This window comes from Homo sapiens, chromosome 2, assembly GCF_000001405.40.
Source record: "Homo sapiens chromosome 2, GRCh38.p14 Primary Assembly".
In the NCBI taxonomy this organism is placed as follows: Eukaryota; Metazoa; Chordata; class Mammalia; order Primates; family Hominidae; genus Homo; species Homo sapiens.
The window spans coordinates 113,931,092-113,956,964 of NC_000002.12; the positions used below are offsets into that span (position 1 = coordinate 113,931,092).

General features: G+C 35.8%; 1 protein-coding gene across 3 annotated transcripts in view; it reads left to right on the top strand.

Annotated features, from left to right (window-relative positions):
- The window catches only part of ACTR3 (actin related protein 3), a 72,663-nt gene that overhangs the window by 41,158 nt on the left and 5,632 nt on the right, over positions 1-25,873 (top strand). For all 3 annotated transcript variants that reach the window (NR_102318.1, NM_005721.5, NM_001277140.1), the window contains 7 exons: positions 210-305; positions 3,188-3,295; positions 8,868-9,011; positions 11,095-11,268; positions 20,388-20,480; positions 20,629-20,754; positions 24,532-24,615. Coding sequence is in view for 2 of the 3 variants with exons in the window: in NM_005721.5 (NP_005712.1) it covers positions 210-305; positions 3,188-3,295; positions 8,868-9,011; positions 11,095-11,268; positions 20,388-20,480; positions 20,629-20,754; positions 24,532-24,615 (825 nt within the window). In the remaining variant the exon portion in view is untranslated. The remainder of the gene's footprint in view (positions 1-209; positions 306-3,187; positions 3,296-8,867; positions 9,012-11,094; positions 11,269-20,387; positions 20,481-20,628; positions 20,755-24,531; positions 24,616-25,873) is intronic.

Below are 25,873 nucleotides of genomic sequence, written 5' to 3' on the forward strand. Positions count from 1 at the left end.
AATGTGAATTACCATACTGTTTTCATATATGTATGGATGTTTGAATTCTCTATAGTTTTCCTTTGATCTCTGTGTCTGTCTTTCTACTTGTAAATTTAATGCATTTTAAATAAAATGTTTGAAATAAATTACTTCTCATTTAAAAATTGTCAAGAAAGTTATCAAAATAATCTGATATTATCTATTTAAAATGTTATTTATTTCAATAGACTGAACCTCCATTGAATACTCCAGAAAACAGGGAATATACTGCTGAAATAATGTTTGAGTCCTTCAATGTTCCAGGCTTGTACATTGCTGTGCAGGTAAGCAAGTTCATACTTTCTAAGTTTGATTCTTACATTTTAACCTAGTTTAATTTGCTGCCTAAAATACGTACTTTTTTTTTTTTTCTGCAAAGGTTTAAACATAATGTCAAAGCATGTTATACTTCTCTCCTGAATTGTTAATTTAGAAGTAATATTATGGGAAGTGGAGATATTTAGTCAGGAAAAGAGAAGTGTTAAAAAAGTAAGTTAGTGGTGTTTGGGTATTTCAAGGGCTTTCATAGGACAGAAATGAAGGAACTAATATTTATGGAATGCTTTCTCTGTGACAAGAACATTGTATATATATTTATCCTTGTAAATAATCCTTTATCATTTATCCTTATAAATCTTTTTGTCCTTTATTGTAGTCTTTTTTGATTGACTTATCTTTAGGTATATTTGACACCCTAATATTTCACTTCTCTTAATTTGTACGTTTATCTGTATGGAACAGCTTCTCTCCCACCCCTCAGGATCAGAGCTGACCTCATTTTTTTTTTTTTTCCCTTGTAGCAGAGGTAATCCCTGACATAACACAAATGCTTTATATGTGTATTAATTCATTATTTCTATTAAATGTAGATATTTTTGTTTCTGTTTTTTGTGGAGGAAGAAAACTAAAGCTGGAAGGCACTTTATTCATAATTAAATGGTTAGCTGTGATACCAGGCAGCTGAGGTCTGTCTGACTTTGCTCTTTCTTGGGATCACACTGGTTTTTGTAACTCCACGGTACACAGAATCAATAAGTGATAATTATGGATGAATATTTTAACTTGGATAGCAAAGAACTTTTTAATGTTTAATGCAATCCATAAATTTAATGAACTGCCTTTTAAATTCTCTGCTGCTAAAAATATTTAAGGAGTCACTTAAACCTGTCATGAACTTTATAGAAGAATTCAGTCTTGAGTGGGAGGCCCTTTTTTAGTTCTTAGAATATGAATAAAATGAGGAGTTGGGAAAATTCATCTTTCACTTGGGAGTTTTTGCTTCTCATCCTATGTTAAATATAATAAACTTATGTTTAACCATATTGTCAGGTAAAGCTTACTTTAAAACACTGGCATCATGAGCTTTGTTTCATTCCTCTGGAGTCGTAATTTGGTTTTTCAGTGATTTCCTTAGTGGCCTCTGAGTGCTCTTAATTTCATTATTTAATCTCTGTTCTGTTTTGTTGATGTTCAGTAGTCAATAACATTTCTGTAACATGATGTGCTGATACATATCTATTCTAGTTTGGGACCGTAACTGTTTACAAAAGACTTGTAAAAGTGATCAGAGATAATTCTTGGTTGTAGATGATAGTTTTGAACTTACTTATAGAGGAAGGATATCTCATAATGAAGTCTAAACAGTATATATATATATAACTAGTATTAGGATGGAATTTTTCATTTTAAGATTGTCAAAAAATAATGTATAGTTCTGTTAGCCTATAGTGATTATGTGGTGATTGTGTTAATATGATCTTGTGTTCAGATAGGAGGGTGACCTAGATAGCTTTCTAGGTCCCTTTTAGCTATTACAGTCCAGGTAGGTAAAATAAGTCCAGTATAAGTTTAGTTGTTTTTAATTACTAGTCATATACTTTGTTTGAGGCTTGGATTGTAAGAAATTTAGTTTTTTAAAAAATGAACTATGTTAATTTCTTAATTCTCACACTTAAAAAAGAATTGTGTTGTATTGTCTGTACCAAGGTTTTTCATAGAAAAATTTTATCAACGTTGCTCCATAATTAAATCATAGTAGTATTTGGAGGTGTGCGATGGCGTTTTCTGTATGTCATATAGTCCTAAACACATGTTACCTTAAAAAAATTTGAAGGTAGGCCTGGCACAGTGGCTCATGCCTATAATCCCAGCACTTTGGCAGGCTGAGGCAGGTGAATCACAAGGTCAGGAGTTCAAGATCAGCCTGGCTGAGATGGTGAAACCCCGTCTCTACTGAAAATACAAAAATTAGCCGGGTGTGGTGGTGGGCACCTGTAATCCCAGCTACTCCGGAGGCTGAGGCAGAGAATTGCTTGAACCCAAGAGGCGGAGATTGCGGTGAGCCGAGATCGTGCCACTGCATTCCAGCCTGGGTGACAGAAAGAAACTCTGTCTCAAAGAAAAAAAGAAAAAGAAGGTAATCTTTTAGTAATAGTTGTTTATAGCCATATATGTATTGAATAACTGGAGGTAGGGTGGTTGTGTACTTTCTGCCTTACATTGCAGTTTGTAACAGGCCAGCCCACGTGGACATAGTTTAAGTTCTGGCAAGTTAGTTCTATACAATTTTTTTTTTTTTTTTTTTTGAGATGGAGTCTTGCTCTGTCGCTCAGTCTGGAGTACAGTGGCATGATCTCGGCTCATTGCAAGCTCCGCCTCCCGGGTTCACGCCATTCTCCTGCCTCAGCCTCCTGAGTAGCTGGGACTACAGGCGCCCGCCACCGCACCTGGCTAAGTTTTTGTATTTTTTAGTAGAGACGGGGTTTCCCCGTGTTAGCCAGGAAGGTCTCGATCTCCTGACCTCGTGATCTGCCCGCCTCGGCCTCCCAAAGTGCTGGGATTACAGACAGTTAGTTCTGTACTGTTTAATGCAATCTTCCACATTTTTAGCTTTAGGACAGAAATAGCCTTTATAAAATATGTAAATCTTACAAATCATGCTCCTAAAAGCAAATGTAAACCTCTAAGTTTGTCTTAATAAAATGTAGGGAGTGAGCTATTTTATTGCATAATACAAAATTAATTTTATGTATTTTCTTTCCACAGATACTACATTTAAAATTGAATAAAGTACTCCAGGGAACTAGTTTTTTTTTTTTCGATTAACTCTTTGTTTTTTTGTTTTTTTTTTTTGTTTTTTTGCCTTTCTTCTTTCTTTGTGCTCAAGGCTGTTCTTGCCTTAGCTGCATCTTGGACCTCAAGACAAGTAGGAGAACGGACGTTGACCGGTACGGTAATAGACAGTGGAGATGGTGTCACTCATGTCATTCCTGTGGTAAGGCTATTTTACAGTTACTGAACAGAACATGAAATAACACATCTGGCAAAGTTAAATTATACGAATTAATGTTACTTTTAAAAAACTTTAAATGCTGCACTATAATTTGGCCATTTGTCCAGTTATAGCTATGTTTTGCTCACCGTTTAAAACTTTTATAAACAATTCAAAATGTTTCTTTTACTGTAGGTTTGTACTGCAATTAAGAAAATTACAAATTGCAATATCTGGAATGGAAGTATATTAATGGCTTTCATTCTGTTTTCCAGTTGGATGTGTGTTAGCCATTTGATGACCTCTTTTATTCATAATTAACAGATTTCAGACTGGTGTACAGGGTAACTGTATAACAGTTAGTTTTAAGTACCTGAACTTTAGTAGATGCTTTATGGTTTGTACTTAATAAAGCATATTAAGAAAAATGCATCAAATTAGATTGTCAGAAATAACATTTTTCTTCCAAGGCCGTTGTGCTTCAGTTCTTAATGATACATCAAGTTTTAAAAAAATTATGCCTAATGAATTCAAAATGACTACTAGAATTCATACTGTTTATTATTAAATGGGTATATAGAGAAAGGTTTATCTTTTAAAGTAATTTTTATATTATAATGAATATCACTTAAGGATTTACATTATTTTGAACTTTTTTTTTTTTTTATTCTCACTCCAGTGTTTAATGCATCAGGCAATGTCTGTTAAAGATTACATCCTCAGGGTGACTACCTTTGGATTAGACTCCTGGTCCTCCACCACTTTCACCCTCATGATATGTCATAATGGTTTTAGTAATAACTGCCATTGTTTAACGATAGCTTAAGATAAAATTCATATACCATACAATTCACTTCTTTAGAGTGTACAGTTCATTGATTTTTAGTATATTCACAAAGTCCATCCGTCCCCACAATTTTAGAACATTTTCATCACCCTACAAAGGAACCCTGTAACTATTAACAGTCACCACCCATTTCCCCTTGATTCCTTCAGCCCCTGGCAACCACGAATCTACTTTTTGTCTGTGTTAGATTTGCCTGTCCTGGCCATTTTATGTAAATGGAGTTAAACACTGTGGTCTTTTGTAACTGGGTGCTTTCACTTAGCCGAACATTTTCAAGATTCATCCATGTTTTAGCACGTATAGTATTTCATTTCTTTTTATTGCCAAATAATATTTCATTATGTGGATATATGAGATTTTATGTAGCCTTTGGGAGGATTTTAGTAAGCTTGGAAATTAGGACGTGTCCAGCATTTGATAGCTTTTTTTAGTTTACTTGGCAGTTTATTTTTCTTTCTTAGTGGTACATAAAATAATTTTTCATCTTAAAATTATTGTTTAAATCTGAAAATCAGTCTGTGATAAATATTATATTTTTCTTTGAGTACCTCAGTTTACTCATTAATAAAATGCAAATAATTGACTTGCCTAAGGTCACCAAATAATAGGTAGTGAGGCTAGGATTTGACCTGGTTCTGCCTTTCTTCAGTCTTTTCTTAACAGCTGCACATCTGAGCAGTACTATCAGCATGTTGATAATTAGAATAGGTAATTTGCAGAATAGAAGTTATCAATATGTAAAAGAATGAGTTTTAGTAAGGACATTAAGAGTGGGTATTCTGGCTGGTATGGTGGCTCATGCCTGTAATCCCAGCACTTTGGGAGGCCAAGGTGGGCAGACTGCTTGAGCCTAGGAGTTCAAGACCAACAGGGCAACATGCTGAAACCCTGTCTCTACAAAAAATGCAAAAATTAATTGAACGTGGTGGTTCATGACTGTAGTCCCAGCTACTCCAGAGGCTGAGGAGGGAAGATAACCTGACCCTGGAGAGGTTGAGGCTGCAGTGAGCCATGATCTCACCACTGCACTCTAGCTTCTCTAGCTTGAGCAACAGAGTGAGACCCTGTCTCCAAAAAAAAAAAAAAAAAAAAAAGGTTGGTGGGGGGGTGCTATTCCTTTTTATTGTTTACTTTTCCCGCCTTCTTTAGAATTAGTAGAGTATTTTTTATTATTCTGTTTTCTCTTTATTGACTTATTAGCTATGCTATATCTGTTGTCATTTGTTTGTTTTTGGTGGTGGTTGTTGTATGGGTTGTAGTAAACATCTTTAACTTACCACTGTCTAATTACAAATAACATTCTACTACTTCATAAATAATAATTATACAACAGCTTTGACCTTCTAGTCTTTGTTCTTATATTGTCATTCATTTTACTTTTATATGTTGTGAACTCAATAATACATTGTTAACTTGTTTCATTTTGAGTGGTGTATTAGTTTGCTAGAACTACCGTAATAAAGTACTACAGACTGGGTACCTAAAGAATAATGTATTTCCTCACAGGTCTGGAGGTTAGAACCAAAAATTGTGATATAACTACAATGTGAGGAGTGGGAAAGGATAGGTATCAGGATTTTGGCAGGGTTGGTTTCTTCTGAAGACTTTCTTCTTGGCTTCTAGATGTCCATCTTCTTTATATGTCTTCACATAGTCCTCCCCATACATGTCTGTGTCTTAATCTCCTCTTCTTAAGGACACCACTTATATTGGATTAGAGAAAGCAACCCTAATGAATTCATTTTAACTAGATACCACTTTGAATACCCTATCTCCAAAAAACAGTCACGTTCTGAGATAGAGCTTAGGACTTCAGCATGGGAATTTGGTGGGGAGGAAAAACACAATTTACCCAGTAGCAAAAAGTTATCTTTAAAAGATAACTTTTTTGGAGACAGAGTCTTGCTCTGTCGCCGAGGCTGGAGTGCAGTGGTGCGATCTCAGCTCGCTTCAACCTCTGCCTCCTGGGTTTAAGCGATTCTTGTGTCTCAGCCTCCCGAGTAGCTGGGATTACAGATGTGCACCACCACACCCAGCTAATTTTTTTGTATTTTTAGTAGAGACGGGGTTTCACCATGTTGCTCAGGCTGGTCTTGAACTCCTGCCCTCAAGTGATCCACCTGCCTTGGCCTCCCAAAGTCCTGGGATTACAGGCATGAGCCACTGTGCCCAGCCTTGAAATTGAGTTCTTTTATTCACGTACCATATCTAGTGCTCTCTATTCCTTTGTGAAGGTCCAGATTTCCACCTAGTATCATTTTCCTTCTGTCAAAATGACATCCTTCAACATTTCTTATAGTGCTGATCTGCTGGCTTTGAATTCTTTCAACTTTTGTACATCCTTTGAAAAAGTCTTTATTCTCCTTTAGTTTTGAAAGATGATTTTTGCTTGGTATAGAAGGTTGACAGTTTTCCCCTGTAGATGTCACTCCACTGTCTTCTGGCTTACCTTGTTTCTGAAAATAAGTCAGCTGTTATTCTTGTGTGTGTTTCTTTGAATGTAATGTTTATTTGGGTGGCTGTCTTCAAGATTTTCTTTTTATTCCTGATTCATTGGTTTTTAGCAATTTGATTGTGATGTACCTAAGTAAAGTTTTCTTTATGTCTCTTCTCCTTGGGGTTCATTGAGCTTCTTGTATATATAGTTTGTAATTTTCATCATATTTGGAAAGTTTTTGTCTGTTACTGATTACATATTTTTTCTCTTCCTCTTTTCTCTCCTTTAGGTACTCTAATCACATGTATATTAGGCTGCTTCACAGTGTCTCAAAGATCATGATGCTCTGTACATTTATTTTTTTATAATCTTTTTCTTTTTTTTGGATAGTTTTTATTGCTCTGTCTTCAAATTCACTATTTTTTCTTCACTGTGTAGTCCACTGTAATCTCATCTAGTGTTTTTCTTTTCATCTGGTAGATTTTTAAATTTTAGATACTGTATTTTTTTCTTCAGAAGTTCCATTTGGGTCTTTTTATATCTTCCATTTCTCTCTTCCTCATCCTCATTGTTGACCTTCTTCATTATATGGAGTATATAGTTGCTGTTTTATTGTCCTTGTCATTCCTCTGTATTGTTTGGTTTTTCTCCTCGTTAAGTGTTGTGTTTTTCCGCTTCCTTGCATGCTTATAATTTTTGATTTGGCACTCTATACATTGTTGTGTATTGTATTTTTGGAGTTCTTTATAAGTATTTAGGATTTTTTCCTGGGACATAGTTAAGATACCAGGAACTAGTTTGATCCTCTCAGGGGCTCCTTTTAAATGTTATTAAGCAGGTCCGTAACAGGTTTTTGTCCAGGGCTGGTTTGTCCCCATTCTTGAGGCAATATTCTTCTGAGGACTCTACTTCATGTCTTGTGTTTGAAAACATCTTTCAACTTTGGCTAGTGGGATCAGGAACTATTTCTGGCTATGTGTGAGCTCTGGTGGTGGTTCTGTCTACTTTTTTCTAGAGGTCCTTTCTCTCACCTTGATGGTTTCCTCACAGGAGTGTGCTGATCAGTATTCAGTTAAGGAGGTACTCTCTTCACATCTTCCCAGCTCCCTGTTGGTTCAACTCCTCCCCCTCCAATAATTTGGCCTACAAACTTCAGCCACTTTGGCCTTTCTGACCTTTAAATTCTATATCCCTAACTTAATGAGACCAGTTTGAGTTCTCTTTCCTATTGTTGTGGCCTAGTAACTCTCCCTAGGCAGTAGGATAGAGTGTAACATTCACGTTATTTGTTTCCCTTTTCTTAGAAAGTATCTCTGCCCTACTCTGCCGATTGTCAAATGTCTGAAAACCTTTCTTTCTTTCTTTTTTTTTTTTGAGACGGAGTTTCGCTCTGTCGCCCAGGCTGGAGTGCAGTGGTGCGATCTCGACTCACTGCAAGCTCCGCCTCCCGGGTTCACGCCATTCTCCTGCCTCAGCCTCCCGTGTAGCTGGGACTACAGGCGCGCGCCACCATGCCCGGCTAATTTTTGTATTTTTAGTAGAGACGGGGTTTCACCGTGTTAGCCAGGATGGTCTCGATCTCCTGACCTCGTGATCCGCCCGTCTCGGCCTCCCAAAGTGCTGGGATTACAGGCGTGAGCCACCGCGCCCGGCCGAAAACCTTTATTTCTTATAAATTGTCCTGTTTTCTCTTTAAATTGAGAGGGTAAGTTCAATCCCTAATATTCTGTCATGCCAGATGAAGGCATCCTTAATATTCTTTCCTAATGAAATTTAATTTTGCCACACTATTTGTTATACTTCTGACACATCAGTAAATTTGTGAATCAGTTCTACAGAATTTAGTTATTTGGCATTATGATGGTGTGTGGAAAGCTTCAGGTTTGTGAAATGGATACATACTTGATTAGGAAAATGATAAGCACTTTGTCACATTTCTTATGAAGCAATCTAAATTTTTTACTGAAATTATAAATGATTTAAAAATAGTACCATCTGATATAAAGTCTGCTATCTAAACCATTTGATATTTATATTTTGAAATTTATTATTTCTATATTGTTGAGTTATTTTAGTCATAGTTATAAACTGTCAGTGGGAAAATAAATCTAAGTTGCTGGCCATTCTTAGTTATAGTTTCTGAGGAATAAAGGTAAGTTCTGAGATAAAGCAGTACTTGAGACTATAAATACACTAACTTAATAAATTGGTCTTTATTGGTTCATATTTTTGGGTTATATTAATTTTCAAAACATTGAAAGTAAATTTGGTATCTTTTTTCCCCTCTCTAGGCTGAAGGGTATGTGATTGGCAGCTGTATTAAACACATTCCAATCGCAGGACGAGATATAACATATTTTATTCAGCAACTGCTGAGAGACCGAGAAGTAGGAATCCCTCCAGAACAATCCTTGGAAACTGCTAAGGCAGTAAAGGTAAAAAGTGTGATAGGAGTGTAATTTAGTTAAAAATTAAAATCACATTTATAACATTAACGTGAGAAATTTTTAATAGAAGAAGAGTACTTGAAATAATCTTGTTAACCAGTTATAAATTATTACCCTTAAATATATTTACATTTTCTTTGTGTTTCTTAAAAGAAAATTATTACAGCAGTTTGTCTTCTGTTTTCTTCATATTTTATATTTGAGAGGAGTAATATAAGAACATTTTACCAAATGACATTAACATAAATTTTTGTGATTATTCTCTTTATTAAAAATAAATAATTATTTCACTATAAAGTCCTTGCATCTCAGTTTCTTCACTGAATTCTTTATTTTAATTCTAAAAGCTTTTGTCATAAAAATTATTTTGATACAATTGATTCATTGTGCTATAGTATAGAAGCAGTGCTTGGCTCAAGTGATAGGGCACATAGAAGAAAAACATGAAGGCTATCTAAAGTATTTTATTAATTTTTTTCTGCCATGTAAGTATTATATCAGTGCTTCATGCAAACTATCAAAATACTTTAGCATCGTCTTTCAAACTTATTATTTGCCACATAACCAAAAAATTTCAGTGGGTTTCACGTGTTTTGAAAAGCAGAACTGCCATGGCAAAAGTAACTTACTTGTCTCTGTTTCCATGGTTTTTTTTTTTTTAATTACCTGTAAATTTTTAAAATTTTTAATTTCTTATTTTTATTGATTTTTTTTTTTTTTTGTAGAGATGGGATCTTGTTCTGCTACCCAAGCTGGAGCGCAGTGGCACACTCGTGGCTCACTGCAGCCTCAAACTCCTGGGCTCACGTGATCCTCCCGCGTCAGCCTCCTGAGTAGCTAGGACTGCAGATGCATATCACCATGTCTGGCTAAGTTTTTGTAGAGATGGAGGTCTTGCTATGTTGCCCAGGCTGGTCTTGAACTCCTGGCCTTAAGCAATCCTCCTGCTTCGGAATCTCAAAGTGCTGGATGTGAGTCACCATGCCTGGGCCTCTTTGCTTGTTTATGGGATTTTCCTTGCTCGTCAGAGCTTAAGAATGAAAATTTATCAACTACTTCCTAGGTAGTAAATTAGTAAATGACTACCAAAAGTTACCCCAAGTTGGTGGCATAAGAATTAAATATATAAAAAGTTAATGTGAATACTACTGATTCAACATCTTTGGGAAATCTGTGAAATTAAAGCAAAACGAGAAAACACCAGAGATTTAAATCTATTCCAGAGAAGATTGATGGTCATTCTGAATGTCTTTAAAGGAATATCATTTCTTTGTCATTCTCACTTCCAAGGTTTGGAGAAGACCTCAAATAGTGTAATCAAATGTCTTCGGATTCCAGTATTTTTTCTCTTTGTGTATTTTGATTATTACTGGTAATATTTGCATCTATCTTGGATGGTGCCTGTGATGTGTAAAAATACTGGAAAAGGAAGTTTTTTTAAAAAAATAAAACAAATATTGGTTGGCAGTTGGGAGTTTATAAATTACAAATATGATGTTATAATCTATAATATATTTTTCAGTGTTTTTGATGAAAACTTTTACTTAGGTCATATAACCAAATATGCAACAAAATAGAGTAATTTATATTTTTAGCCTTTTTTCTTTGCTCTTTTATTTACTCAGACCGTAATCAGTTTTGTTTCAGATAGATATTAAGGATCTATATTAATTTGTGTGGTTATCACAATTATTACTTATTCTTCAGTTCTGTATTTTATTTATTCTCCTTACCTACAGCACAAGATTCATTATTACTGAGACAGAAAATGTTGAATGACATTAGTGAACATTTTCAGGAAATAACATTGAAATAGTAGAAGTCAGCTCTCCAGTCTCTCAAATACTGTTTATATTTAAAGTCAGAAAATATGTGTAGGAGATGAGTATGTTTATTTGTACTACACATATGATAATATCCTAACAAATTTTTCTTCCAGCTTAATTTCCTAATTTTATTTTCTGAAGAGTTTTTTTTTTTTATTGGATTATAGTTTACTGAAAACATGCCATTCTTCTTTACTGTTCCTATAATAAGCAAAAAAAGTTACTTTTGTTTCTTTGTTTTTCAGGAGCGCTATAGTTATGTCTGCCCAGATTTAGTAAAAGAATTTAACAAGTATGATACAGATGGGTCAAAATGGATTAAACAGTATACTGGAATCAATGCTATCTCAAAGAAAGAGTTTTCTATCGATGTTGGTTATGAGAGATTTTTGGGACCTGAAATCTTTTTTCATCCAGAGGTAATTTTTTTTAACGGAATTGTTTAAAAGTATTCAGCAGCAAATATGAATTAATAGATATTCAGAGAGAATTAATCTCAGAAACTTTTATTAGTACACTAAAAGTTTGAGTTTTTATGAAAAGTTTATAAAACATTTTATGAACTTTTTAAAGAAAAAATTTGCTTTTGTTAAAATAAGCAAAATTGTTGCTATTTTTTGCAGATTTAGAAAAAACTTTTTAAAAAATATGTGTGGCTTATGGGGGGGTCATGAAAAGAGGAGAGCCCTTAAATTTTTTTTTTCTTCCCTCCATCATGGACTCAGGTAAAGTTTTGTAATTGAAATAAAATATTTTGGGAAAGGTTCTAGAAAGCTCCCCCCCTCCCTATTTGTGTAAAATGACCATTATACAAAGAACCTTCAATTAACCATTAAAATATATAACTAGTAGCAAAATAGTCTTCTGTCTATGAAGTTTTAGCAACATAAAGGCTTTATTAAATTAAGAAATACATACTTTTAATAATGGAAAATTCTTCTGGTAACTTAGTATCAGAATTGTAACTTTATTAATAGAATTACTAATATTACGTACTTACTCTGCTTATTTAATGTTAAGAATAGTTATTTTTAAAATTTTGTTTATTCACTCAGCAAATGTTAAATGGTTTGAATTTTCATGATCTCAGCTTAAGCACTGGGTATTCAAAGATGAAAAATTATTTTATCTTGCTCTTACTGAGCTCAAAGAATAAAAGAGATGAGTATTTAAACACGTAAGGTTATAGTTGCTTTAATGAGTGTATGTATCTGCTGAGGGCACAGGAACAAAGAGCATGTAAGTCTGCTTGGGAGAACATCTCAGGGGAGATAATGGTTGAACTGAGACTTAAAGGATGAATGGGTGTTTGTCAGTCATGTGTGGTAGGGGAGTATATGTATTTTTGTCAGAAGGTTAGCTAGGCAGAGGTCTTAGACATGAGAGTGCTGGAAAGAAAAGTATAGAGGACAGATTGGTAGGAGAGGGATCCAGATAGGTATTCATGGACCCAGTCTTGAAGGGCAGATATGTTATGCAAGGGAGTTAGCTAGATTCTGTAGTCATGCAAAAATTTTAAGCATAGAAGATAATTGTGTACCATATTAGAAAGGTTACTCTCGCAGCATTGGTTTGGACGGGTTGGAACAGAGGTGTGAATTGTGTTGGAAATAGGTGATTTTACTATAGTATTTTAGATGAAAGATGAATAGTATTTGTGGGTCAGTGAGAATGAGGAAGGAGGTGAGAGAAAAATAGAATCAACATAATCAGTAATTGCTTAGATATGAGGGGAGTAAGAATATGAGGAATCTGTGATAATTCACAGGTTTGTAACTTGGGCAACCCAGTGTGCCATCCACTGAAATTTGTAATACTGAAGGGGAGGAGTAGGTGAAATAGACAAAGATGAGTTTATTATATGCATCTTTTAAAAGGTTCAAAAACAAACACTTGGGTGTTGTAAAGTCATCACCCTTTGTGGGGCACAAAGGAAGAGGTTGGCTGAGAAGGGGCTGTGGAGTAGAAAGGTGAAGAATAGGGCCTTCGTGAACACAGACACGTGGACAGGCTGAGTAAGTAGAGCCTGCAAAGAATACTGAAGATGACAGAGAGGTAGAAGCCAAGCTAAAGGATTATGGTCATAAAATTGAGAGAAGTGAATGTTTCAAGAAGGGAGGGTAAATAGTGCCAGTTGCTGCAGTGAAGTAACATTAGAGGAAACCTTAGAAGTACTTGGAGTTTTTCAGCATCTAGGTTATTGATGATCATAGGGGAGGCGTTTCAATGGAGTGATACGTTAGAGCAGCTTGTTACTTATCTCAGTGAGAGGTGAAGGTTTGGAAATCAGCAGTCTGGACATTCTGAGAGATGGCTATGAAAGAAAAAGACAGTGGACGAGTAAGAATTCAGTTGCAAGAATAAGGCTCAAGATAGTTTTAAATTTTTAAGAGGGCTTACTCCAGTTACAGGAGGGAAGGAATTAAGTATAGGTACAGGAAAATGAACTAGGAAGGGCAGAAGCACAGGTAGGTAGTTGAAGAAGTTCATCATCATAGTTCATAGTTTTAATTTTTTTATGAGGTGGAATCAAGCTTATGTTTTGGGAGAAGGGACTGGACTAAAATTGAGGCCGAAGCGGGCAGATCACGAGGTCAGGAGATCGAGACCATCCTGGCTAATATGGTGAAACCCCGTCTCTACTAAAAAAAAAAAAAAAAAAAAAAAAAAAATTAGCTGGGCGTGGTGGTGGGCGCCTGTAGTCCCAGCTACTCGCGAGGCTGAGGCAGGAGAATGGCGTGAACCCAGGAGGTGGAGCTTGCAGTGAGCCGAGATCACGCCACTGCACTCCAGCCTGGGCGACAGAGCGAGACTTCATTTCAAAAAAAATTGAGGGCTTGTGAAGAATAATGACTTTCATATTTACTGTTGAGGGGAATTGAGAGGGTGACTAGTGAGTACATATTAATAGTATGGGGCATCCATTCTTTACTCAAGGTAGCAGGTTAGATACCCAAAACTTTTAGTTGTGCAATAGTGTCCTCTCGCCTCCCCCAGACAGTTGTGGGAAAGGAGGAAAAGGTTTTGATAAAGCAGAGATTAAAGTATTACAGCATAGAGGAGAGAGCAAGTCCTGAAAGCTGAATTACCTAGGGATAGTGAGGGTACAGGTATTGGAGATCATGATGAAATGACACATAATAATTGTGAATTGGTAGCAGAGGAGTGAGCATGAGAAGGATAAGGAATTGTGGTCAGACTAGTATACTGGAGTGTGAAGGTTTTTGGTGGTACATTTTCTTTGCACTTTATCAAAACATAAAGATTAAGAGGATGTATACACACAATTTTAAAGGTCAAATAACACTGACAGACTTAAAATTAGCAGCTCTTCACCCTCCTGCTGCCATTGTGTTCTATAGAGCATCCACTAGCTTTTAGTTATTGCTCTTGGTAGTAACCCCCAGATTTCTAAATACTGTGATGGTATTGCAGGAACATGGATGGAGCTGTTTCTTGATATGTCACTGTTAGTGGTTTAAATGCTAGCCTCCTTTCAGATTAGTTCTTTCTAGACTCTCTTTTCTTCCAGCCTGCCAACATGTTAGGTTATTGTTATTAGGTAAATCAATAGTATTGTAATATTTATAGTATTATACCTGAGACTGTTGTTCACTTTTGAGGCAAGTAGTGTAATGTGATTCTTTTCCCTTAAAATTCAGCTTTTCCTACACTTTCACCTTGTTTATTCATTTGCTTCATTTTCTTTTTTTTTAACTTTAAGTTCAGGGGTACATGTACAGGTTTTTATATAGGTAAACTTTTGTCATGGAGGTTGTACAGATTGTTTTGTCCCCAGGTATTATTAAGTCTAGTATCCGTTAGCTATGTTTCCTGATCCTCTCCCTCTTCCCACTCTCCACCCTCCGATAGGCCCCAGTGTCTGTTGTTTCCCTCCGTATGTACATGTTTACTTATCATTTAGCTTCCACTTAAAAGTGAGAACATGCAGTAATTGGTTTTCTGTTCTTGCACTGGTTTGCTGAGGATAATGGCCCCCAGCTCCATGCATGTTCCTGCAAAGAACATGACCTCATTCTTTTTTATAGCTGCATAGTATTCCATGGTGTATATGTACCACATTTTCTTTATCCAGTCTACCATTGATGGGCATTTAGGTTGATTCCATGTCTTTATTTTTGTGAAGTGCTGCAGTGAACATACATATGCATGTGCCTTTATGATAGAACAATTTATACTCCTTTGGGTATGTGGGATTGCTGGGTTGAATATTTATGTTTTAGGTTCTTGAGGAATTGCCACACTGTTTTCCACAATGGTTGAACTAATTTACACCTAATATACACCAAGAGAGTATAAGCGTTTCTTTTTCTTTCCAGCTTTGCCAGCACCTTTTTTTTTCTTTTTAAATTGTATTTATTTTTTAAAAATATTTTCTCTTTCCTTCATTTTTTAGGAGGGATGGTGTGAGAATATTTTTTGAGTTTTTAATAATAGCCATTCTGACTGGTATGAGATGGTATCTCATTGTGGGTTTGATTTACATTTCTCTAATGATCAGTGACGTTGAGCTTTTTTTCTTAAGATTTTTGGCCACATATATGTCTTCTTTTGAAAATTGTTCATGTCCTTTGCCCACTTTTTAATGGAGTTGTTTTTTCCTTGTATATTTATTTAAGTTCCTTATAGATGCTGGATATTAGACCTTTGTCAGATGTGTAATTTGCAAAGATTTTCTCCCATTCTGTAGGTTGTCTGTTTACTCTGCTGATAGTTTCTTTTGCTGTGCAGAAGCTCTTTAATTAGATCCCATTTGTCATTTTTTGCTTTTGCCATCTTCATCATGGAATCTTTGCCCATACCCGTGTCCAGAATGGTATAATTTGCTTCATTTTGTTTGTACAGTCATTTATTCATTCATTTATTTATTGGGGTTTGAATTAACTTTCTTGTTATACACGGTCTGGAAGGGAACCGAGGAGGGTGGGTCTCATTCTATATAGAGGATTTTAACAGTTTCTTTTCCAAACAGGATTGAAATATTGTATTCATTGTTTTTTTGCCCCCTGATTCATCCTTGGTCATTTACCTTTCCTTTTAATTCTCTTGCTGTCATTTTAGCGGAGAGTCAAGAGACGGGAGAGATAACCACATGTAGCTGGAAGTTAGGACAGATTTTTGTATGGGCCATTTATATGTGAGTAGATTAATAGAAGTGTGTCAGACCTCATTTCATTTAAGGCACATCAATTAACTTGAAATTGAAATCTTAGAGAAGAATATTAAAGCTCCAAGTTGGGGACAGGAATTAGAAAATTGCAGAAGATCCTGAGCAAATGTCCTGCATGAATAGGATCATGACCACACGATGGATAATAGCATGGGATATAGGAGATGAGCATTTGAATGGAATATGCTTGACAAATGAGCTTAGCTGATGCCTTGGCTTTCTTAAAAACCTTGAAGTAGGCTGGTTGTGGTGGCTCACACCTGTAATCCCAGCACTTTGGGAAGCCAAGGTGGGCGAATCACTCAAGCCCAGGAGTTTAAGACCAGCTTGGGCAACATGGGAAGAGCCCGTCTCTACCAAAAAAATACAAAAAATTAGCCAGGCATGTGGCGTGTGCCTGTAGTTCCAGCTACTTGGGAGGCTGAGGTGAGAGTATTGCTTGAGCCCAGGAGGTCCAGGCTGCAACGAGCTGGCATTGCACCATTGTACTCCAGTGTGAGCAACAGAGCAAGACCCTGTCTCATAAATAAATAACCCAAAGCTTTAGATATGTAAATAAAATGTGTTTCATATTGCTTAGGAAAGGTATAGTTGGCTGGATGAAAATGTGTCTTGCTGCTAATGTTTCATATATCATTTTTTCTATTAATTTGAATAACCTTTATTGTTTCATACACCAATTTTTCTTTATTTTTTAACTTTAAAACATTTTCTGTTGTCTATAGCTTTATGTTCCTTATAAGTAATTTCTTCTATGAGAAACCTGTTTCTCTTTTTAAAAAACCTGTTTTGTTTTCTTTTTTTTAAAGGCTGTTTTTAAAAATCAGTTATATATATGCACATGGTTTAAAAGTCTTGGTCTGCGTATCCTAACAAAAACTAGGGGTGCCCTGCATGTTTCTTTCTCTTGTTTTGTATTTCTAGAGGTAACCACTTCAAACTCTTCTTAGTTGCTTCTTTTGCTGATTACCTCCTTAGCTATGAATTGCTTGGTTATATTGCAACTTCAAATTTTTTTTCAGTGTTAGGCTTTTCTTGTTTTCTTTTGGAAACAGGGTCTTGCTCTGTCACCCAGTGCAGTGGCTGAGTCATGGCTCGCTGCAGTCTCCCCAGGCTCAGGTGATCCTCTCACCTCAGACTCCCAAGTAGCTGGGACTACAGGTATGTGCCACCACTTCCAGCTAATTTTTGTATTTTTCGTAGAAACAGGGTTTTGCCATGTTGCCCAGGCTGGTCTTGAACTCCTGGGCTCGAGCAATTCACCCATCTTGCCCTCCCAAAGCGCTGGGATTATAGGAATGAGCCACTGTGCCCAGCCCTGTGTTAGGCGTTGTCTGTCGAATTCCAACTATGGAAGAGGAAGATTGTCTTTTTTATCCTTCTTCTGTCATCACAGACAGGACCTTTCTATTCCCTTTTCATCTCATTTGTTACATTATAATTTCAAGTAGGTTGAAATTCAGTGCTTATGTTTTTGTGACCACAAATTTTGTTCATATCTGAGCCATGTAGTTAACCATGAAATCTTTTCCCTTCCTATAAGTAACTTTGTTTTCCAAGAAGTCATTAATAAACTGTTTGCTTAGTGCTAAAATAATTACCATTCATTCACCTCCAAACTCTCTTCAGTAGTTATATAAATCTCTTCTCAGGATATTCAGATGTATAGGGTTTATTCATCAGTTTAATTTTCTGAAGTGTCTTTTACATCCCAATCTGAACTTGCTTCTGTCGGTTCCCAGTATAGAGTTGCCATATTCCTTTACTATCATTCTAGGGATTCCCTTTCCCTCTCTCTTGTGTTGGATCTCTTTTTCGTATATCCTATGTCTTTTTCACTCCATTTACATGATCTAAATGAAAAGATTTTGTATTAGTATGTGTCACTTTGATAACATTAAATCTCTTTTCATTGTATGCGCAGCCTGTAAATAATTTAGAACTAATCTTAAAAACTGGAAAAAGGCAGGGCGTGGTGGCTCACACCTATAATCCCAGCACTTTGGGAGGCTGAGGCAGGCGGATCACCTGAGGTCAGGAGTTCGAGATCAGCCTGGCCAACATGGTGAAACCCCGTCTCTACTAAAAACACAAAAATTAGCCGGGCGTGGTGGCGGACGCTTGTAATCCCAGCTACTCGGGAGGCTGAGGTAGGAGAATTGCTTGAACCCAGGAGGCAGAGGTTGCAGTGAGCCAAGATTGCGCCACTGCACTCCAGCCTGGGTGTCAGATCGAGACTCGGTCTCAAAAAAAAAAAAAAAAGAAAAAAAAAAAGAAAAAATTGACACATGCCTAATAATTATCAATACAGTTATAGACTCAGTTTAATAAATAAAGGAATAATGTCTCTCAACTAGGACAACCTAATGATAAAAATGAATGGCTGAGGAGATATACAATACTTGTTTGTTTTTCACTAATTAGAGCTAGATTTTGATTATTTATTTAGAGACAGAGTCTCTCTCTGTCACCCAGGCTGGAGTGCAGTGGTGTGATCATAACTCAGTGTAACCTCGAATTCCTAGGGTCAAGCAATCCTTTTTCCTCAGCCCTCTCAAGTAGCTGGAACTACAGGTGTGTGCCACCATGCCTAGCTAGTTTTTAAATTTTTTGTAGAGACAGGGTCTCGCTATGTTGCCCAGGCTGGTGTCAAACTCTGGGTCTCAAGCAATGGTCCTGCCTTGGCCTCCCAAAGCACTGGGATTATAGGTGTGAGTCACCATGCCCAGCTTCAAGTTGTTTTTTGTTTTTGTTTAAGTTAGTTTTTTAAAAAGTATGTTTTTCTTGAGTGCCAGCTGTTTGGAAATAGTAAGTTTATTTTGACTATGGTATATCATCGTTTGAATATATAGCTGATGTTTGTTATTCAAAGTAGATGTGCCAAAAAGTTCTTGAGAGCGCTGAATTAGTGAACACTGAGCTAGCTATTGCTCCTAGGGGAAATACAGTATTAGGTTTCTTTGAGCCTCTGGTAACATTTTTGTTATCCCATTAACATATACCCTTGTTTCATGTGTGTTTCTTTTTAAAGGCACTGCATTTAGTATATCATTTTAGTATATTCATTTATATTCAATAGCACTAGAACACATGTCTGAACAAAGCTATCTAACTTGCTTTTTCTCTGTAAGACACATCACAGCCTCCTTGTGTTTACTAGCCAGCACTTGAGCAGTATGCTTGGGGGCCATTTTAAATAATGAAATCACTAACAAAAATATGAAAACCGTGCCACTAAATAGAACTGTGAAAAGGACACTTGTTTATAGTATGAGAGCTGAAACTAGATAGCAGAGTATCATCTTGTTCAACCTCAATGGGGAATGTGCACATCAGTGGACTCAAATTTTTGTTGCTCTACACGTGCATGTCCATGAATAACCATATTTTGATTTGGGGAGTAACAAATATGTTTTAGCGATTAGGTAAATTCACAAATATGGAATCATGAATAATGAGATTAGACTACATTTATTTATTTCATCCCCTATTGATGGACTTAACGGGTTTTTCCTCTTAGAAACAAGGCTATAGTAAATATGCATATGTAATAGCATACATGTTTGGGGAGTTTCTTCAGAGTTTGTTGTAAGAAGTGGAGTTACTGGTATGTGCATTTAAAATTTTATTAGCTATTTGTATTAGTCCGTTTTCATACTGCTAATAAAGACATACCTGAGACTGGGCAATTTATAAAAGAAAGAGGTTTAATTGGACTTATGGTTCCACGTGGCTGGGGAAGCCTCACAATCATGGCAGAAGGCAAGGAGGAGCAAGTCCTGTCTTACATGATGGCAGCAGGCAAAGAGAGAATGAGGAAGACGCAAAAGCAGAAATCCCTGATAAAACCATCAGACCTTGTGCAACTTATTCACTCCATGAGAACAGTATGGGGGAAACCACCCTCATGATTCAATTCTCTCTCACCAGGTCCCTCCCACAACACGTGGAAATTATGGGAGTACAATTCAAGATGAGATTTGGGTGGGGACACAGAGCCAGACCATGTCACTATGTTACTATTGCCAAATTATTCTCCATAGTGGTTACATCAGTGTATACTCTCACAGCGTTATATGAAAGTTTCCATTTACCCAGATTTTTGCCAGCTCATAGTATATGTATGACTTTACATGTTTGCTATTCTGATAGTTATAAAATGGTATATATCATCATAATTTTGAGTTTTCTCTGATTTCAGTGTCTTCAATCTGAATCTGTTAGAGACCAGTATTAGTGGTTTCTAAAAGGCCTTTTGTTTTTGAACTGAAAACTTTGTTTAACCTTTTATTGTGATATTTGTCAGTAGTGATATGATCTCTATTATATATCCAACTTATTTTTCAGTTTGCTAATCCAGACTTTACACAACCTATCTCAGAAGTTGTAGATGAAGTAATTCAGAATTGTCCTATTGATGTCAGACGTCCTCTCTACAAGGTATTTATAGCAAAATTGTTATTCAAGGTCTTACTTTAAAAAAACTTAAACACCTCTCATAAAAAGGATATAATAGCATTTCAGTACTATATATTATATCTTTAAACTTTTCTCTTTTTAAATATTATATTTATTTTCTCTCCACTAGAATATTGTCCTCTCTGGAGGTTCAACCATGTTCAGGGACTTTGGACGTCGCTTGCAAAGAGATTTGAAAAGAACTGTAGATGCCCGGCTGAAATTAAGTGAGGAATTGAGTGGTGGTAGATTGAAGGTTGGTTTTCCCAATTATTGGTGAGAAGGTTGAGGGTGCCTTCCTTGATTAGGATGAGAAATATTTGCCAGCATTCACTCTGATTTAGAAAAATAAGAGGAACCTGTCAGGTATTCTAATGGAAATGGTTAATGTTATAGATTTATGTCTGTGATATTCTGGATCATTTGATTCTTCTAGGATATTGTCTGTATTTCTGGAAAATAATTCTTAGTAATACCTGTGGAAAGACTTTTTTTTTAAATACCTCTCTCATAGATAATTAATATAGTAGATTTCTTTGCATACACCAACAATCAAATTAATTATGGATCCACAAAATGTTTTATACTATAGAAGGACAGCAAAGCTGAGTTGAGATTGATGCCATTGTTGAGTAGTCAAGCCTGCTCTCAAAAACTGACTTTAGCTCCCACATAGCAACCTCAAAGTGTGCAGTCAAATCGGTGGTTTAATAAAGTAACCTTTGTATTACATGTCCTGGACCTTTAGGCTTGAGGTTAAAAAAAATCAAAATTAATTTAAAATTCTTAGATGTCTACTTTCTATATTTAGAGATAGATTCTTCATTTTTTTCATCCTTGTTAAATATTGAAGCAGAACGTTGATTTAGAGGAATGATATGGCTTTTTTCAAAGCTGTTTGAAAAAAGGTATTTCATGTGAATAAAATACCTTCTGCTTGGAAGATTACCAAGAATGAGGACTTTATCTGAGACTTCCATAATCATTCAGAATTACTTAAAAGTAAAGCACAGCACTCTAGGGTTTGCTGATTGTTGAGAAATTGCATGATGGCTGACTGTTGTCAGTGCCTATATTTTGATTATCTTGAGTAAACCTATCCCTAGGAATGCAGTAAAAAGTATATGTTTTGGGTGGAAGGCAAAATATTGAACTCTGTCCCTATAATGTCATGACTTCACACTTCAGGAAGTCTACTCAATAGACTTTTAAAATGTTGTGTTTGCTTTTGCATCCCCTTCCCAACCAACCAAACCACCAGCCCACCCCCATTCATCCATTCATTTGCCCATCCGTCTACTCCCCTTACCCACATATCTATCTACCCTACCTCCTACCTAAAAAAGAAGTCATTGGGTTTTGCAAGTATAAATTCTCTGTACTGAGAATCCTACTAACCACATTGATTATGTGAATGAACATAGTGCATGTTCTGGTTTTTTTGTTAGAATACTTAAAAGATTGAAGTTGATTGTCCTAATGGTATGGTTATGGATGTATTAAAGTAGCTGTTTAGTTTTTAATAACTCATTACAGATATATAAGTACAAAACAATGCTGTATGTTTCTGAGTATAGTATTTTAAAAAAGTGAGATTGTTTAACATTTTTAAGCTCTTTTTACACTTGTAAATAAGAAATAAATTTACCCAGTGATCAGTACCGTATCGACATATTGAAAGAAACAGATTGGGTGTCCCTTTTTTGAATTGCTTCATACCAGAAGTGTTGCAGGTTTTGAGTTTTTCTGGATTTTGGAGTATTTGCATTATATACTGGTTCAACATCCTTAATCCAAAAATCTGAAATTCTGAGCATTTCCTTTGAACATCATGTTGGTGCTCAAAAAGTTTTTGGATCTTGGAGCATTTTGGATTTTCAGACTTGGGATGCTCATCATGTATAGGAAAAACCTTGTGTTTTGGAGGACTCTGCCTTCTTCACCTTAGTTTTACTTGCTAGTAACTTTTATAGATCTTAATAGCATGCCTTTATCTATCTATCTCTGGCTTTATTTTCCTTCAGTCTGTAATTTTTAATGGCAACCAAACAGTTTTGAAAAAAGCCATATCATTCTGTTTCTATAAATAGGTGTGTGTACACACACACACACACTAAATTGTAGATATGATGGTTCATTATCCCCAAACATTTTAGTATATTTCTAAAATCAAGAACATATTACAATTATCAAAATCATGAAATTAACCTTGATCCAGTGTTATCTAGTTATAGAACTGATTCTAATTTTACCGGTTGTTTCACTAATGTCCCTTATAACAAAAGGAAAACAAAATACCTTCTTCCCCCTTATCCAGGATCCAATCAAGGATTGCATGTTTCATTTACTTATTGTGTTGCTTCAGTCTGTTACATACTCAATGTTTTTTGTCTTTCATGAATGAATGTGACATTTTTGAAGAGTACAGCCATTTATTTTGTAGCATATCCTTCAGCTTGGGTTTGTTTAATATTTCTGCTTGAGTAGGTTCAGATTATGTACTTTTGGCAGTGATGCCACAGAATTGATATTGTATCATTTTTAGTGCATTGTATCAGTAGACACATGATAGAATTTGTCCTGTGTGTGAATTTTGAGCTTTTGGTTGAAGTTGTGTCTGCCAGGTTTTTTCACTATAAAGTTATTATGTTTTCCTTTATATTTAATAAGAATCTAATGAGGAGACACTTTCAGACTATCCTGTTTCTCTTTTAAGTTTCAGTCACTAGTTTTTAGCATCCATTGTGATTCTTCCCTAAAACAGTTATTACTGTGGTAGTTGCTAAATGGAGTTTTGCAATTTCTGTCATTCCTTCTATGTTTTTAAGACTTGTTTTACTATAAGCAAGAGTTTTCCCTTCTCCCACATTCATTTATTCTTTTAGTAATATCTATATGAACTCCTGATTTCTCATTTTGTGGTCTATATCTTTAATATCACTGTAATATCATAATATCAGTAATACCACTCATCATTAATTTTAATCCCACATTTTTTTTTTTTTCAGATTTGACCAGTGGGAGTTATTCAAATGGCTCTTAGGTTTTTTTTTTTGATGCAGCCACATCTTTTTTTTTGCCTACTTCTGTACTTCCCGGCACAGCAAGGTGTTTCAGGCTGATCTTGTACTTTCTCTTTTCTGGCCCTGGAATCAGCCCTTTTTTTCTCCTTTTCTTTCTTCAAGACACCCTTGTCTTATTCCTGTTAGTGGAGAACGTTACTAAGAAACCAAGCTTTGTGCTCATTGCTGTTGGGGTATCACTGAGTCTAGGCCTTCTCAGTGATTAGAGCTAGGGGTGTGTGTGTGTTTATACATCTATATCTAATTCTCTACATAAATTAAAACCATGAATTTTTACAGACGTCTCCAGTTATAGAAGGTTCACTCTAGTTTTCTGCCCTTCCATATTGTAATGCCCTTCTCTGACAGTGAGAAACCTGGCTCCTATTATCTATAATATGTTTATGTTTTTGCTTAATCCTGGAATATGTATATGATAGTTTCAGAATTGTTAATCCACACCACTGTGAAAAATAGACCCAAAACTAGAATTCAATATTTGCTTATATTTTATCTTCAGCCTGAAGGCTTATAAGATTCAAAATACTATGCTCACAAGTTGCTTGTGTTAGTCCCTTTCCTCACCTTAGTGTGCTTATGTTTGAAAAAAGTACAATTAGTTTAATTTGTTTTTGTTGTACTTTGTTTTGCCCCAACCTCCCCTTCTTTTAAGGTGTTATTTTTTAGTATGTAAAACACTAACATTTAGATTCTTAAAGTCAGAACTGTATAAAACATGTGCTCATTGTTATTTCCCTTCCATTTATTCTGCTCTGTTCCCTCCCTGTCTCTTCCACAGTGTTCCCAACCCCTTTCCTCTGAGACAGCCAATCTCAATTGTTTCTGGTTTGTAAGATACCACCTGAATTTAGTACAGATATTATTTTTGTATATGTACATTTAAGGTTAAATGACACAGAAGTTGTTATTTGAATTTACTATGAAGATGATCATACTATGTCTTTCTTTAGCCAAAACCTATTGATGTACAAGTCATTACACACCACATGCAGCGATATGCAGTTTGGTTTGGAGGATCAATGCTGGCTTCCACGGTGAGTGTGATGAAGCTTACTTTTATTTTATTTTATCATTATTATTTTATTTATTTTTGAGGTGGACTTTCGCTCTTGTCACCCAGGCTGGAGTGCAATGGCATGATCTTGGCTCACTGCAACCTCCACCTCCTGGGTTAAAGTGATTCTCCTGCCTCAGCCTCCCAAGTAGCTGGGACTACAGGCATGCGTCACCACACCTGGCTAATTTTGCATTTTTAGCAGAGACTGGGTTTCATCATGTTGGCTAGGTTACTCTTGAACTCCTGACCTTGGGATCTGCCCACCTTGGCCTCCCAAAGCAAAGTGTTGGGTTTACAGGTGTGAGCCACTGCTCCTGGCCTTTATTATTATTATTATTTTTTATTGAGATGAGGTCTTACTATGTTGGGCCAGGCTGGTCTCAAACTCTTGGGCTCAAGTGATCCTTCCACCTCAGCCTCCCAAAGAGCGCTGAGTTTACAGGTGTGAGCTGCTGCGCCTGGCTGAAGCTTATGTTTAAATTTATATATATATATTTAAGATAGAAGAGTCCATCAATACTTGGAGAAGAACAAAGCAAATTCCTTTAAATTGTATCTCAAAATAATAGGAAACTTTGTATATATGTGTTTGTAGTATTTTAAAAATTGGAAGTAATTTAAATTTAATTGGAAGTCATTTGAATTTAATTTTTTTTTTTTTTTTAGCTTGCTAGACATTATTTTAGAGTGACCATTTTATACTATGTTTTAAAGTTTATCTGTAGGGAAAGTTCTGTTAAAACTGGTAATTTAGTCATCAGAAGGTCCTTGTTTGTTCTGTTTAAGTATTTAAAAACATTAAGGTAAAAGTTAAGCTTCATTGCATAGAAAGTATGATGTTTTACACTGAATAAAGGGAATTATTCTAAGAATCCTGTCCCCAAATTAAAATGTCTTTAAAGCCCCCTAAAAAGGTGTTCTAGTGTTCTAATACCATTAACCTAGGAAGTATTGGTGCTTTGTTCTGGTAGTGCATGCAATATTAAAATGAAGGAGCTTTTATCTGAATTATTGAATAACTGTACAACTTTGGATTTAAAACCATTTCCAACATAAGAGGTGAAAGTTATTTTTTTCCTCAATTTTAGTCTTCTTCAATTGGGCCATATAACCTAGTTGAGTTTGTGACTTTGCCTTGAGAAATGAGGTAACACAGCATGGAACAGTCTATCTTTTCCAGACCTTGAATGAGGAAGGCAAATGATCTAGACATTTCTTAGAACTAGACGAAAAAT